This window comes from Homo sapiens, chromosome 1, assembly GCF_000001405.40.
Source record: "Homo sapiens chromosome 1, GRCh38.p14 Primary Assembly".
NCBI lineage: Eukaryota > Metazoa > Chordata > Mammalia > Primates > Hominidae > Homo > Homo sapiens.
In genome coordinates, this window is record NC_000001.11 from 6,183,199 (window position 1) to 6,200,015 (window position 16,817).

The window sequence follows — 16,817 nt, forward strand, 5'->3', positions numbered from 1 at the left end:
CTCGGCAGGGGTGAAACGGCGTCACTCAGGACCGCAGTGTCCTCTGCAATGAAGGCTCAGTGCCCACCTGCTGCACCAAGACTTTCGTTGCACTTGAAGGCTTTTTCCGAAAGTGTGGACCCTGCACCACCTGAATTCAAATCAGTTGGGGTTGCAGGGGAGGAAGGAGCTTCTCAAAAAGGCAGCCCTGGGCCATGGCCCTGAACCTGAGAAAATCCTTGTGTAAGCCTGAGAACGTTTTATGGGTGTTCTCTGGGTTCTAGCTATGGTGGCAGCTAACTCACTCCGCTGGTCAGCACAGCCTTTACAGACTGTTTTAGCTGGGCCCAAAATAGCCTGGGGGAAAAAAAAGAATGTGTATTCTCAAATCCATCCCAAAGACAAGAAAATGGCTGGATGAGAAATTCAGTTTCCTGTTCCTAGAGATAAGCACTATGATTGCACCGTTTAACAGGCAGTCCTCACCTCCTTCCTGTAGGTGGAGGGCTACCTCCTTGCAGGGATGGCAAATCCCCACACCAAGCCTCTCTTCTACCCTCTTCTCCCTCAAAGAGAATCAACCCCACAGTTTATTCCACTAAATACAGGCCCATCACCACGACTCAGCGAACAACCTGGGCAGGTGCCAACCCAGGCTCTCCTTCAGGGACCTGGCCCATCTCTCACCGCCGTGGTGCCCCTACCCTGCAGCTTCTGACTCGTCACCCCAGTATTCTGTCCAAGGGTTACTGGGGAGATGGTCTGTCCCCTGGAACTGCCAGATCTGTAACTGTCCCACATCCTAGGTCCCCCTCTCCTGTGGGAGGTCTTGGTTTACAATACTTGACAAGTTTAAGGGTCTGAGTCCCATGTACAAATGGAAAGTGAAATCAGGTGTCAACACCAAATTCCAGGCTCCCCTGACATCAATGACTTCAACAGCCGGACCATTATTCCCCATCACCAGGGTCCTTATCACCCTCCAGGAAATCAAGTGTCCCCTAAAAAGGCTGAGCTCTAGATAGCCCCAGATATCAACTGTCTTAAGACACTTGGTATTATCCAACTTCCTCACTTTCCCCGTGTTTCTGACCACCTCTGTGCTACACACCATTCATGAGCAAAGTTAGGACCCACGTATTTCAACACCTGGCTGCTCCTGAAAATGTATGAGGACAACAGTCCTCAAAACCCAAACACTTCACCACTGGAAGTGCCATGGGAAAAGGGGGATCAGAGGCTTTTTGGAGGGAAAACATGAAGCCTTTAGAAGTGACTAGTTCGTAGCACTTAGTGACATCAACAAACCTCATTTCCTCAGCTGTACCAGCACACTCGAGGGAAGGGCGTGAAGGTGTTGTGTAACTGGCATTGGCTGAGACGAGACCAACCTCCTGTTTCCGGACTCTTATGAACTTAAATCACGGCTTGAAACTCTCCACGACCCCAGTCAGCCCCTGTGCCTCAACTATTTTCGATCAGGCAAGTGAGGTGTGAGTCAAAACAAAGGAAACTGGTCTACAGTGTGCTTTGGGCGCAGCTGGTGTCATGGTTGTGATGGAATTCAAGTTGACACTACCTATTCCCCATCAGAAAACGGCATTTGCTGGCAAAGTTGATCCCCAGACTCTGGATCTGGAGAAATTCTACACAGAGTTCAGTGACAGCCAACCCCTGAATCTCACTGCGGCAAAACAGCACAACTAAGGGAAGAAAAGTGGAAATAAAGGACATCTTTTCTTCTAAGCCTAATAAAGACCAACGTAACTGTTGGTACAGCAACTAATTCGTGAGGACAAAGCTTTTCTTCACATGCCAGTCCTTAAAAAAAACAAAGCCTCGTACAGTAAGAGTAGCCAGGTGTTAGCCACTTTAATAGAAAATATGATCAAAACTCGATTACAAGAGTTCAAAAAGACATAGAAAACCAGTGAGTTTCAATTTTATTACAAGTTTTCAAATCTGGGACTAGTTTCTTTTTTTCTTTTAACTGAAATGCCAACTTCAGCCCAGGGTTTTTTCACAACCAAACTAAAAATGACTTACTACATGGGAACATCAATGCAACAAGTAGAATTTGTAAACTCAAGCCACAAACTTAGTTAATAATCATGGTTAAGGGACATTGCCAAAGAGCAACTGATGCCTCAGTGAAGTTTGAAAGAAACTCTGCTTTCTGTGACGGCAGAGAAGAAATATGCAAGCAATTCTGCTTCAAAGAAATTTGCATAGAAATGGAAAAATGCCAGAGCCTTTAACACAAGTGAAATTGCAAAGCCTCAACACGTTCAACTCAATCCACAGAGCACCAAATGTTTAATGGGAGCCAAGGTAGGACTGAGCATTGAACTTCCAGCTATGCAACTCGCAGGGCACAATTTCAAGTGTGGAAACCATCTGTAGGCAAGCTCTTTTAAAAACATGAATTTTAGACACCGTAAATTCTAATGCAGACACTTTTGCATTACTGTTTGAATTTCAGAAGGGCACCACAAGGCACCAGAGTCTTTCAAAGTCACTCACAGCAACAATTGCATTTTTTTCCCAGCCTTGGTAGCCCCTTTCAGTTGTCTAGCCTCTGCACTGTGGCACACCACTGACATTAAATCCAGTCATGGCCTAAGTGGCATGAGGCAGCTATTTCCAGGGCACCTCCCACCTCCTTGGCATGGGAGGCTTCCCAGTCACTCCTCCTTCGTGTCCCCTCTTTCAAGAACCTCCAGAGCTCTTGGCATCAGGGGCCCCCATTGCTGGGCCCCACACGGGAGACCACATCTGGAAGCACTATTCCTACAGCTCCCTCTGCTGGAGACGAAAGTGACAGTTTGTTGCAAAGACCTGTAGAAACATTACTTACACGTTCATTTCTGTACACATTTAGTTAATTTAGAACCTGGGACTTTTACAATCGATTCCCCAAACCCCTTTATGGCAGCAACACTGAAGGAGCACAGTTTCTCTCTCTAGGAAGAAGAGGATTAGCAGACATAATTGTGTGCGTCAAGAGAAATTTGTAATCAAAAAATGAAAGTAAGACGAATGGCCCAGAAACCCGCATTTTATTGACAGTCATTTTCCCACAGAGAATCTTAGAAAGATGTCGCGTTTTCTTTTAATGAATGAGAGAAGCCCATTTGTATCCCTGAATCATTGAGAAAAGCAACAGATACAACTGACAGTCACACTTTTTAAAATCAAACAGTCACTACCTTCAGCCCACACCTCCACACCCGCATCTGCCTCCCCAATGGCTGTCAGTTCGGTAAAGTCACCCTCTCCTTCTACTCTGGTATTACCACGAGAATTGAAATTTTTAAGCAGAAAAAAAAAGAAGTCAAGTTACAAATAAATGAGTGGCGAACCAAGGGAAGCCCTTTGACTATGATTTCCAATTTTCTGTTCAATCCACACTGCAGAGATACAAGGATAAACCACCATTTTGGTTCCCAAGTTTTATTCAAGAACTCATACAAAATTTTCCAGATAAATGAAATTTAATCCTCGTCTTCCTCCTCTTCTTCGTCCTGGTTAATCTGGAAGTAACGTAATTCGTAACTCTCTTTGCTGTTAGCAACTACGCGCAACCAGTCACGTAGATTATTCTTCTTCAAATATTTTTTGGTGAGATATTTCAAATACCTGCAGAGAAAGGACACAAGAACTCCACTAGACAGTTGGTGCTTGCATTCTAAAACATTTTAACATTTATAAAACCCAGCACTCAAAATCATTACAATTCAAGGTGTTTTCCCAAGCCTCAAAAATGGCAAAGGTAAGGCAAATACACCCAGCCAAGGCTCTGAGTTATCAGCCACGTACCATCGACATCGGCAGTAACAATTAGAATAGCCTCAGCATGGTGGCTCAGGCCTGTAATCCCAGCGCTTTGGGAGGCCAAGGCAGGCAGATCACTTGAGGTCAGGAGTTCGAGACCAGCCTGAACAACATGGTGAAACCCCATCTCTACTAAAAATAAAAAAATTAGCTGGGCGTGGTGGTGCACGCCTGTAATCCCAGCTACTCGGGAGGCTGAGGCATGAGGATCCCTTGAATCCAGGAGGCGGAGGGTGTAGTGAGCTAAGATTGTACCACTGTATTCCAGCCTGGGTGACAGAGCAAGACTGCCTCCAAAAAAAGAAAAAAGAAAAAAAACTAGGCCAGGGGCACTGGCTCACACCTGTAATCCCAGCATTTTGGAGGGCTGAGGCAGGCGGATCATGAGGTCAGGAAACGGAGACCATCCTGGCTAACACGATGCAACCCTATCTCTACTAAAAATACAAAAAATTAGCCAGACGTCGTGCTGGGCGCCTGTAGTCCCAGCTAGTCAGGAGGCTGAGGTAAGAGAATCGCTTGAACCCGGGAGGCAGAGGCTGCAGTGAGCCGAGATGGCGCCATTGCACTCCAGCCTGGGCGACAGAGCAAGACTCCATCTCAAAAAAAAAAAAACAAAAAAAAAAAACAAGAGCAGATAAGTAGATAAGTAGATGTACCAGTTGTCCATGAAAATGCAGCAAACACCTATAACATGGTTTTTAGTGACCACTGGAGAAAGATAACATGATAGAAATTTACAGTTAAGTACGCAACCTCAATACCTTTTATGCAGAAAATAGTGGGTTTCCAAAGAGCTGTAAGCGCTGCGCACACATCACCTCACGGAGTCAAACCCCCTTTTGAGGTTGTCTGGATGATGAGGACTGCTTCTTAGGGGTGTGCACACACTCGCTCCTGCTCACCACCCAACACACAGGGACAGAATGCCACCCTGCCACTGCGCTCACGCCCAGAGAGCACAAAGCCTTTCAGTCAGCCTGCCCAATTGCTGCTTTAGCCAGGTGAGAGCTAAACACTCACCACAACAGGGATCATTTAAAAACTCTTTTATTTATTTTTTTAGACAGAATCTCCTTCTGTGGCCCAGGCTCACTGCAACCTCTGCCTCCAGGATTCAAGCAATTCTCATGCCTCAGTCTCCCATGTAGCTGGGATTACAGGTGTATAACACCATGTCCAGCTAATTTTTGTAATTTCAGTAGAGATGGGGGTTTTGCCATATTGGCCAGTCTGGTCTCGAACTCCTGGCCTCAAGTGTCTGCCCACCTCAGCCTCCCGAAGTGCTGGGATTATAGCTGTGAGCCACTGCGACCAGCCAAAACACTCATTCTTTATGGAAAGGCAAAAACTGGCTTTTGTGCCCAACACCCTAACTACATAAAGATGACCTAAGGGCTGGGCACAGTGGCTCACGCCTGTAATCCCAACACTTTGTGAGGCCAAGGTGAGAGGATCCCTTGAATCTAGGAGTTCGAGACCAGCCTAGGCAACATAGCAAGACCCTGTCTCTACACAACATTTTTTTTTTTAATTAAAAAAAAAAAAGATGAAGTGCACCACAGTCTTGGCAGCTCTCTCACCGGCTTGCTTCCGTGGCCCTGAGGCTATTCCGAATCTTCCCAAGCCATAAAGAGGGAATTTCACAACACACAAACCCACAGCAGAGCCAATTCATCTACCCAAGCTGTTTCTCCCACAGTGAAAGGGGATCCCTGCTACTAACCATCTCTTCAGACCATAGCAAGGATTACATGAGATGCTCAGAGAGATCCCTGGCATTTTTTTTTTTTTTGAGACGGAGTTTCGCTCTTGTTGCCCAGGCTGGAATGGCACGATCTCCGGCTCACCTCAACCTCCGTCTCCCGGGTTCAAGCAATTCTCCTGCCTCAGCCTCCCGAGTAGCTGGGATTACAGGCATGTGCCACCACGCCCAGCTAATTTTGTATTTTTAGTAAGAGACGGGGTTTCTCCATGTTGGTCAGGCTGGTCTGGAACTCCCGACCTCAGGTCATCCACCCGTCTGGGCCTCCCAAAGTGCTGGGATTACAGGCGTGAGCCACCGCGCTCAGCATGGATCCCTGGCATATTCACAGGACCCAAATGTCATGAACCAACAGACTCACCATCTCCAAAAAAGGAGCACTGTGACAGTGCTCCACACCAACAAAGCAATCTCCACACCAACAAAGCAATCTCCACACCAACAAAGCAATCTCCACACCAACAAAGCAATCGCCACAAAGTGTGAAGATCTCAATTCAACTGTCCACTTTTTGCTAAGCAAAGATAAATCAATTTGGTCATTCCATCTAAAAAGTATACTTTTGTCAATTATTTCCACCATATTGTATTCAGATGAGGTTAATTCAAAATTTCAGGTGGTTGAAATGTTCCCTGACATAGCCGGACATGGTGGGGCACTCGTGTAGTCCCAGCTATTTGGGAGGCTGAGGTAGGACTGTTTGAGCCAGGAGATGGAGGCTAGAGTGAGCTATGATCACCCCACTGCTCTCCAGCCTTGGTGACAGAGTAAGACCCTATCTAAAAAAAAGGAAAAAAAAAAATCCCTAATAGTACACTGGGGAAAAAAATCAGGTTAAAAAAAAAAAAAAAACCCTGTACAGGCCAGGCAGGGTGCCTCATGCCTGTAATCCCAGCACTTTGGGAGGCCGAGGCGGGTGGATCACCTGAGGTCAGGAGTTCCAGACCAGCCTGGCCAACATGATGAAACCCCCTCTCTACTAAAAATACAAAAAATTAACCGGGCGTGGTGGCAGGCGCCTGTAATCCCAGCTACTCAGGAGGCTGAGGCAGGAGAATTGCTTGAACCTGGGAGGCGGAGGTTTCAGTGAGCTGAAATCGCGCCATTGCACTCCAGCCTAGACAAGAAGATCAAAACTCGTTTTCAAAAATATAAATAAATAAAAACCCTGTACAAATTCAGAGACAGAAAAAGTTCTAGATTCGGGACACCTTGAACCTTTCAGGAAAATTAACTATTATCATCAAGAAAGGAAAGCTGTAATAGATGATTAAGGCACCTTCCCTACTCCACTGGATAAAGAACAGAAAGTTTGTGAAAACGCAAGTGACGCATGTCAGGAGATACCCTCACCCTGGTAAACAGGTCACAGAAAGGTAGCAGAATCTTCCCCAAGGGCTCTGCTACAGCCCAGCAGGCCGGACGCTTTGTACCCCCACCAGAAGCCCCATTCTCACTGCTTCCCAGGCAGACTGTGAGGACTTCACTTAAGCTTCAAAGTCTCTTCTTCACGGACATAGCTAAACATAAAAGCATTAACTACAACCAATTTGTACTAACATACCTTAAAATTTCCCACCACTTGATTTAGTATGTTGGTTTTCTTTTGTTTGTTTTTTTTGAGACAGAGTTTCGCTCTTGTTGCCCAGGCTGGAGTGCAATGGTGCTATCTTGGCTCACCGCAACCTCCGCCTCCCTGGTTCAAGCAATTCTCCTGCCTCAGCCTACCCAGTAGCTGGGATTACAGGCATGCACCACCACACCCAGCTAATTTTGTATTTTTAGTAGAAACGGAGTTTCTCCATGTTGGTCAGCTGGTCTAGAACTCCTGACCTCAGGTGATCCTCTGACCTCGGCCTCCCAAAGTGCTGGGATTTAGTATGATTAAAAGCTCCTAACAGGCCACAGCCCCAGGCTAGGAGCTGAGTATATGCATATCCAATTCTTCAGCAACTGGTAAAGTATTTTAACCTCATCCTCAAAAACCAACACATAACAGAGGAGGGAACTAGCAAATTAATGTCTCCATTTTGAAATGAAAGAAAATGGGCCCCCAGGAATTAACTAGAGTGGACTCTGTCTAAACTGAGGTCTTCAGATTCCTTGTTCAGTGCCAAAGTAGCACTTACAAGGGAAACAACTGGAATTCAAAAGGAAAGCTCTTGGTCAGACACAGTGGTTCATGCCTGTAATCCCAGCACTTTTGGGAGGCCAAGGCAGGTGGATCACCTGAGGTCAGGAGTTCAAGACCAGTCTGGCCAACACGGCGAAACCCCGTATCTACTAAAAATACAATAATTAGGCCGGGCGCGGTGGCTCACGCCTGTAATCCCAGCACTTTGGGAGGCCAAAGTGGGTGGATTACGAGGTCAGGAGATCGAGACCAGCCTGGCCAACATGGTGAAACCCTGTCTCTACTAAAAAACAAAAAAAATTAGCCACGAGTGGTGGCAGACACCTGTAATCCCAGCTACTCAGGAGGCTGAGGTAGGAGAATCGCTTGAACCCAGAAGCCGGAGGTTGCAGTGAGCCAAGATCACGCCACTGCACTCCAGCCTGGGTGACAGAGTGAGACTCCGTCTCAAAAAAAAAAAAAAAAAAAAAAAAGAGGCCGGGCGCAGTGGCTCACGCCTGTAATCCCAGCACTCTGGGAGGCCGAGGCGGGCGGATCACGAGGTCAGGAGATCGAGACCATCCTGGCTAACACGGTGAAACCCCGTCTCTACTAAAAATACAAAAAAAAAAAAAATTAGCCAGGCGCAGTGGCAGGCGCCTGTAGTCCCAGCTACTCGGGAGGCTGAGGCAGGAGAATGGCGTGAACCCGGGAGGCAGAGCTTGCAGTGAGCCGAGATCTCGCCACTGCACTCCAGCCTGGGCAACAAAGCGAGACTCTGTCTCCAAAAAAAAAAAAAAAGAAATACAAGAATTAGCTGGGTGTGGGCCAGGCGCAGTGGCTCATGCCTATAATCCTTGTACTTTGGGAGGCTGAGGCAGACGAATCACCTGAAGTTAAGAGTTCGAGACCAGCCTGGCCAACATGGCAAAACTCTGTCTCTACTAAAAATACGAAAAATTAGCCAGGCGTGGTGGCACATGCCTGCAATTCCAAAAACTCGGGAAGCTGAGGCAGGAGAATCGCTTGAACCTGGGAGGCAGAGGTTGCAGTGAGCCAAGATGGCGCCACTGCACTCCAGCCTGGGCAACAGAGCAAGACTCGGTTTCAAAAAAAAAAAAAAAAAGTAAGCTCTTACTGTGATCTAGAGACAGGAGGCAATTTTTTTTTTTTTAATTGAGATAGGGTCTCACTGTGTCACCCAGGCTGGCCTGCAGTGGCACAATCACAGCTCATTACAACCCTAACCTGCTGGGCTCAAGCCATCCTCCCACTTCAGCTCCCCAAGTGGCTGGACTACAGGCACATGTCACCATGCCCAGCTAATTTTAACTCTTGTAGAGATGGGGGTCTCACTATGTTGCCCAGGCTGGTCTCAAACTCCTGGGCTCAAGCAATACTCCTGTATCACCCTCCCAAAGTGCTGGGATTACAAGCATAAGCCACTGTGCCCAGCCAAGAATATTTTTGAGAAAACAGTCTTGAAAGCAAGTCTGAGTACCTTACTGTTTAAAATACTTTAGCCTGGCCGGGCATGGTGGCTCAGGCCTATAATCCCAGCACTTTGGGAAGCCAAGGCGGGTGGATCACTTGAGGGGAGGAATTTGAGAGCAGCCTGGCCAACATGGTGAAACCCCCGTTTCTACTAAAAATACAAAAATTATCCGGGCATGGTGGCAGGTGCCTGTAGTCTCAGCTACTCAGGAGGCTGAGGCAGGACAACTGCTTGAACCCAGGAGGCGGAGGCTGCAGTGAGCCGAGATCGCGCCATTGCACAACAGCCTGGGCGATGGAGTGAGACTCCAGCTCAAAAAAAAATAAAACACTTTAGCCTGTGAAAGACAAAATTTTAAAACCACCAAAAGTTGACTATTGTTAACAACCATAATAGCATTCATCCACTGCCTCCTGCACTGAGCATAGTTCCAGAAATTAACAGATGCAAACCAATCACTCTGCGGGTGCCCCCACTCCCATGCAGGGAAAAGGCGGGCTGGGCACTGGGTGCACGCAGGCCACACACACACTTCCCTCCTGTACCTTTTGGAGAAAGGCACCTCGGATGTCACGGTGATCTTGCTCTTGCTCCTTTCGATGGTCACCACCCCTCCACCAAGGTTCCCAGCTTTTCCGTTCACTTTGATCCTTTCTTGCAAAAACTGCTCCTGTAGAAATCATTAAATTGACCAATGAAGTGACAAGTTCATCTGTCTCAACAGAATATTTTATCTGTCTCCCAACACTGAACTAATATCATTTTTTGTTTTGGTTTTGGAGACAGAGTCTCACCAGCGCAATCACAGCTCACTGCAGTCTCAACCTCCCAAGCTCAAGTCTCGACCTCCCAGACTCAAGTGATCCTCCCACCTCAGCCTCTCAAAGTGCTAGGATTACGGGCATGAGCCATCCCACCTGGCCCCAGCTGACTTTACAATTTTTTTTTTTTTTTTTTGAGATGGAGTTTAGCTCTTGTTGCCCAGGCTGGAGTGCAATGGCGCGATCTCGGCTCACTGCAACCTCCGCCTCCCAGGTTCAAGTGATTCTCCTGCTCCGCCTCCCAAGTAGCTGGGATTACAGGCATTCGCCACCAGGCCCAGCTAATTTTGTATTTTTAGTAGAGACGGGGTTTCTCCACGTTGGTCATGCTGGTCTCCAACTCCCGACTTCAGGTGATTCGTCCACCTCTGCCTCCCAAAGTGCTGGGATTACAGGCGTGAGCCACTGCGCCTGGCTTAACATTTTTAAGAGAAGGGGTCTCTCTATGTTGGCTAGATTGGTCTCAAATTCCTGGGCTCAAGTGATCCTCCCACCTCAGCCTCCCAAAGCGTGGGGATTACAGGTGTGAGCCAGCATACCTGGCCCTAATATCGGTTTCTTAAATGTTCAGTCTTTTTTAAAAATGGTAACAAATCCCATTTACATACATACTATGAGACAACATCCCAGTGTAAACGTACTTGACTACTTCCACACAAGGCCGACTGGGCCTCGCCACGAAAGGCTTAGAAGGACAACACTAGACAGGAAACCCAAGGCCAGACTTTTACAAGATACGCCTGTAATCCCAGCACTTTGAGAGGCTGAGGTGGGTGGATCTCCTGAGCTCAGGAATTTGAGACCAGGCTAGGCAACATGGCGAAACCCTCTCTCTACAAAAAATACAAATATTAGCCGGGTGTGGTGGCATGTGCCTGTAGTCCCAGCTACTCAGGAGGCTGAGACAGGAGAATCCCTTGAGCCCAGGAGGCGGAGGTTGCAGTGAGCCGAGATCACACCACTGCACTCCAGCCTGGGGGACAGAGAGACCCTGTCTCAAAAAATAAATAAATAAAACAAACTTTTACAAGGTACATGCAACCAAAGCTAAAAGCAACTTCTGAATCTAAGGAGTATAAAACACTGTTCACAGCACTATCAGAAAATAAGCCTTCAACCTAGTAGAAAGAGCAAAGACATAGGGACTGAAACAATTCTAGACCTGGTCCAGGGCCATGTGTGGTACAGCAGAAGCAGCAGCCACTCAGGAGCCTGAGATATTCTCTGCAAACTACTGTGTGGGCCTCAGCAAGACATTCACCTCCTTGTGCTTCAGAAAGCTTTGCCCAAAAAGGACCTTTTTAGTTGTTTTCTTGCTATGGCAATGACATGAAGTCCCTTTCAGCTCAAAATTCCTATAATTTTCTGTTTAAAAACTCCAATACAAAATATGTTAACTGGCTGGGTGCAGTAGCTCACACCTGTAATCCCGGCACTTTGGGAAGCCAAGGCAGGAAGATTGCTCAAGCCCAGGAGTTCAAGACGAGCCTGGGCAACTTAGGAAGACCCTTCCTCTACAAAAAAATTTAAAAATTAGCTAGGTATGGTGGTGCATGCCTGTGGTGCCAGCTATTCCAGAGGCTGAGGTGGGAGGATCACTTGGGCCTATGAGGTTGAGGCTGCAGTGAGCCAGGATCATGCTACTGCCCTCCAGCCTGGACAACAGACCCTTTCTCAAAAAATAAAAATTTGGGAGACTGAGGTGGGCAGATCACGAGGTCAGGAGATCGAGACCATCCTGGCTAACATGGTGAAACCCTGTTTCTACTAAAAATACAGAAAATTAGCCAGGCGTGGTGGCGGGCGCCTGTTTCCCAGCTACTTGGGAGGCTGAGGCAGGAGAATGGCATGAACACGGTAGGCGGAGCTTACAGTGAGCCAAGATCGTGCCACTGCATTCCAGCCTGGGCAACAGAGCAAGACTCCGTCTCAAAATAAATAAATAAATAAAAATTTGGGGCCAGGCGCGGTGGCTCACGCCTGTAATCCCAACACTTTGGGAGCCCGAGGCAGGCGGATCACAAAGGCAGGAGATTGAGACCATCCTGGCTAACACGGTGAAACTCTGTCTCTACTAAAAATACAAAAAATTAGCCGGGCATAGTGACAGACACCTGTAGTCCCAGCTATTCGGGAGGCTGAGGCAGGAGAATGGCATGAACATGGGAGGCGGAGCTTGCAGTGAGCCGAGATCACACCACTGCACTCCAGCCTGGGTGACAAAGAGCAAGACTCCGTCTCAAAAAAAAAAAAAAAAAATTTGGCTGGGCACAGCGGTTCATGCTTGTAATCCCGATACTTTGGGAGGCCGAGGCTGGCAAATCACCTGAGGTCAGGAGTTCAAGACCAACCTGGCCAACATGGTGAAGCGCCGTCTCTACCACAAAAATACACAAATTAGGTGGGCATGGTGGCACACGCCTGTAATCTCAGCTACTCGGGAGGCTGAGAAAGAGAATCACTTAAACCTGGAAGGTGGAGGTTGCAGTGAGCCAAGATCACACCATTGCACTCCAGCCTGGGTGACAGAGTGAGATTCCACCTCAAAAATAAATAAATAAAAATAAAATAAAATGGCCAGGCGCAGTGGCTCATGCCTGTAATCCCAGCACTTTGGGAGGCCGAGGTGGGTGGATCACCTAAAGTCAGGGGTTCGAGACCAGCCTGACCAACATGGAGGAACCCCATCTCTACTAATAATACAAAAATTAGCCAGGCGTGGTGGCAGGCGCCTATAATCCCAGCTACTCGGGAGGCTGAGACACCAGAATGGCTTGAACCAGGGAAACGGAGATTGTGGTGAGCCGAGACTGCACCATTGCACTCCAGCCTGGGCAACAAGAGCAAAACTTGGTCTCAAAAAACAAAGTAAATAAAATAAAATAAACAAAAAGTATACATTAACCATAGATGGGGCACAGAGTGATTAGGTCAGAAATCTTGAATTCTGCATCTCAAGATTCATAAATGACTTAAGTTTTCTATCCTAAGGAGGCTTCCAGAAGGAAAGACAATCACACAAACAGATGAGTGGGCTGAGGGAATGGCTCAGAGGGAGGGAGGCAGGAATAATGCCAGAACAGGGCCACCATGTGAATACCAAACTGGAAGACACCAAAGTTGAAAAAGAGGAGGCCACAGAAAAGCCAGAAGTCACTGGATAGAGAAAGAACTAAGGAAATAGGGGATTTCTTGAAGGACACAGATGCAAACAGCATCTACATAAAGGCAATAAACTATAAGAGGTTACCTAAATTCCATTCTGGATAATTCGTGACCATAATTATTTTGTGTTTAAAAATTATTTTTGTTGTAATGATACTGATCCTGGCAATAGTTCAACCTTCTGGAGAATTTAGAGCAAATGCAAATTTAGGAGACTTCTACACACAAATACGAAGTCTGAATCCCCCAAACATGGCTATTAGAGGAAAAAGAATAAAATGTCAAAACCAAACTGCTGAGTCAAAATGTGGCGGAAGGATTATTTAATATTTCTAGATTGCAATAGGATAGAGGAATATTGGGGAATGGGCCAAATACAGGGGCAAAAAATCAGCACAGAGCAAGATCTGAAGAAAAAAAAAAAAGCTCCAATTACAATTCAGCAAGCAGGGTACTTTAAACACTGAAGCTCAGATGCTTCATAATATAGAAAAGCTTCGGGAACTGCTGCCACCTGTCCAAAGCTCCACATCAAAGCAGTGAGACCCAGGACAGAGGCAGCCCATAGTCAGGATCAGGGTCCCTCACTTATGCTTAAACACACCAAACAGCAAGGGGGATGCCATGGACCCAGTGAAATTTGTCTGTTTCTCAGTAACTTTTTTTGTTTTGTTTTTGAGACGGAGTCTCGCACTATCTCCCAGGATGGAGTGCAATGGTGCGATCTCTGCTCACTGCCACCTCCGCCTCCCGTGTTCACGCGATTCTTCTACTGCAGCCTCCCGAGTAGCTGGGATTACAGGTGCACACCACCACACCCAGCTAATTTTTTTGTATTTTTAGTGGAGACGGGGTTTCACTATGTTGGCCAGACTGGTCTCGAACTCCTGACCTCATGATCTGCCCGCCTCAGCCTCCTAAAGTGTTGGGATTACGGGCGTGAGCCACCGTGCCTGGCTTGTTTCTGGGTAACTTTTAAGTAAAATCATTTGTGGAAACTAAAGGAGAAAAACAAGATAGTCCTCTAACACCTCTGTGCTAGAGCCCTTCTTGCTTATTCTAAGCCCATCTCCTTTTACTCCTCACAACTGTTGCACACACAAGAAGAAACAAGACTTGGAAACAAACAAGTAATCTGCCCACATTCCCAGGGTGAGATGATACAGCCAGACCTGTGAAGCTGCCTATAAGCCTGAAAACAGAAATGTACCCCAGTAGGTTTTCTCAACAGTATCTCAAAATGTTCGTGACCACCCGAGTGGCAATAAGGATGTAACTTACAAAATTGGCAGCATCCATGATTCCATCTTCTACAGGGTGGGTGCAATCAAGAGTGAACTTCAGAACTTGCTTCTTTTTTTTGCCCCCCTTCACCACAAGCTTTTTCTAAGAAAATACACAAATGATAACAGAGATGAAGTTTCAGTCAGTCGGAAAAACAAGATTAACAGAACCAGAAACGTCATAGGTATAAAAGTCCATACAAATACAAAACTAACGGAAGTGTGCTCCCTTTGCCAGAGGGCCAAGAGGCATCACTGCCTGAGTGCCAGAGGTATAATGGGGCAGATGCTGCTGTACAAGCTTGGGGCCTGGGGTCATGCCCTTTTGATGGGGAAATCATTCTAGCACTCTTGACTCACTCAAACTTTCCAGTCTCCCCAATCTCTACAGGCATGAAGGTCTCTTAGTTTATGAACCACAATAAAATGAACACTTCCTTTTGTTTGCCCTAACATTCCCAATTTCAAAAAAATACTATTTTTCCAAAATTAGAGTGCAGGCATACAAAATGCCTTGCATACCCACAATTTTCATATGAAATCAATCCTTGTCCTACATGTTCAGAGTAGGGTCCTGATCCGTCTTAGCTCATCTCCCTTAATCCTGTCTCATCCACCTTCTCATGAAGGGAGTTGCAAAGTATTCTAGGTGCCTGTCCACTCCAGCTTGGACAAGGTTAAGGCTAAAACCTAGAATCTTATTACAACACTACCGTCAAGAACTTCTGACATTTTGATTCGCTTCATCTATGCATTAGTACTTCCAAACCACCCGGCAAAGCACATCCTACAAGGTTCCAGTTTCTTCACTCTTACGAAGAAGCTTGTGTTAATCTTATCTCTCTACAAACTTGACACCATTAATGCACTTGTGCATCGTACCAACCTGTACTTTCACGTTTAAAAGCTCTGCAGAACTAAATAGACTTTTCCAAAAACACATCTTACCTCCCTTCATGTTTAAAAGAACTTCATCTAAAACTTGTGTTAACTGGATCAACTTTTCAAACATTTGGCCACTACAAAAATCACTGATTTATTTTTTACAACGTCTCTTCGCAGTAATAATCTAAGAGGGGTACTTTAAGATCTATTCCGAACACACACAATCAATCAAGAGACCTACCCACAACGGGCTTGATACTTCTCCATCAAGGTTTTAAACCAAAAGGCATTCAAAAGCCCAACCAGACAGAAAGAGCAGAAGAACCGGAAATGTTAACCAGGGAGTCCCAACAAAAGAGGAAAAGTAGGATCTTGGGACGAAGAACACGGAAAAACAACTTTCTCAAATAACCTAGGAGGAGGGCGCCGCACAGCCCAGTCCCAGCATAGCTAAAGGAGAATGCAATGAGAGCCTTCTCCCTACACCACTGCAACACCCGTTTGGGTCTGTACAGTGCGCCCTGATAAACTAATTTCCTCTGGGGACGCTAAAAAGCTCCTCAAACCCAGGCCTCCTCTCCGAAAGCACGCCGACCAAGCCGCCCTTCCGCGGATTCGTCCCCGAGTCTTGGCCGTGGACTTCCGAATGCGCGGCTCCCCAGGGTAGCAGGTCCCGTTCTTCTTCCCCGCCCTCCACCCAGGTAATCAGGCCCCCGGCCGGGGTCCGAGGACCAGTGGCCGGCCCAGACCGCAGTCTCCAGGCTCCAGCTCCCCGCTAGCCCCTAGCTGGGGCCCCGGGCCTCCGAGACCTCCCGGATCTCCCTCACGAGCCTCGGGCCGCGGCCTCCTCCGCCTACAACGTGCTGGGATCGGCAGGGGCTCTGGCCCGCTCCGGCCGACCTGCCAGCCCACCCCAGCAGGACGCTGCAGGGCGCCGTCCCCAGCGAGCCTGGGTAGATGCCGGGCTCGGCGAGGCCCACGTGCCTCCCCTGGAGCCGAGGCCTCACGCGGAGCCATACTAACCACAGGAGCCATGGCGGCAGCGGAGTTAGAAAGGGAGGTGAGCGAACTACGCAGACGCAAAGAGCCCGCAGCGCGCAAGGCACGCAGGGTCCAGGCCGCACTAATCACTTTGCCACGCCCCTCGTCCGCCACCTTTTCTCTTGGTTATGTACGATAGGGGAGCGATTGGTTTTTCCTGAATGCAAAACGCGTCCTCTCCCAGGCCTGGAGGGTTTCTGGGGAAGGAAGGAGGCCCGGCGGGCTGTCCCACTGCGAACGATCGGAGGGGGGAAGCCAGACTGGACGAGCCCAAAGATAAATAAAGGGGTTGGCTTTACTTTTTGAAAGTCTTGGGAAGAAAAAAGAAATAAGGAAATTCACTATACTGTAAATTACCAGCTAGTGGGATGGAAATCGAATCTACTAATTTGGGGAAGTGGGAAAATTCCTTGTAGCCACCGGGAAATTTCGTTCA

General features: G+C 47.4%; 1 protein-coding gene across 1 annotated transcript, besides 1 other annotated feature; it reads right to left on the bottom strand.

The window, feature by feature from the left end:
- Nucleotides 1–1,821: 1,821 nt before the first annotated feature.
- RPL22 (ribosomal protein L22) lies at nt 1,822–16,397 on the bottom strand. The gene is made up of 4 exons (NM_000983.4): nt 16,364–16,397; nt 14,454–14,558; nt 9,732–9,856; nt 1,822–3,618 (listed from the first exon to the last, which is right to left on the bottom strand). The coding sequence occupies exons 1-4, from the start codon at nt 16,373–16,375 to the stop codon at nt 3,474–3,476; spliced, it is 387 nt and encodes a 128-aa protein (NP_000974.1). The 5' UTR covers nt 16,376–16,397; the 3' UTR covers nt 1,822–3,473.
- Nucleotides 16,149–16,288: a silencer, noted in NCBI's record as "silent region_138". NCBI's record gives its function as "represses an Ori minimal core promoter by ATAC-STARR-seq in GM12878 lymphoblastoid cells {active_cell/tissue: GM12878}" and the evidence as "EXISTENCE:reporter gene assay evidence [ECO:0000049][PMID:35858748]".
- Nucleotides 16,398–16,817: the final 420 nt, after the last annotated feature.

What these genes read in the sequence shown, in the direction of transcription:
- RPL22 (NM_000983.4), bottom strand. An exon ending in TCATGGATGCTGCCAATTTT is followed by an intron (nt 9,857 to 14,453) that starts GTAAGTTACATC and finishes TGATTTCTACAG; the next exon opens with GAGCAGTTTTTGCAAGAAAG. An exon ending in GAGGTGCCTTTCTCCAAAAG is followed by an intron (nt 3,619 to 9,731) that starts GTACAGGAGGGA and finishes CTTTCTCTGCAG; the next exon opens with GTATTTGAAATATCTCACCA.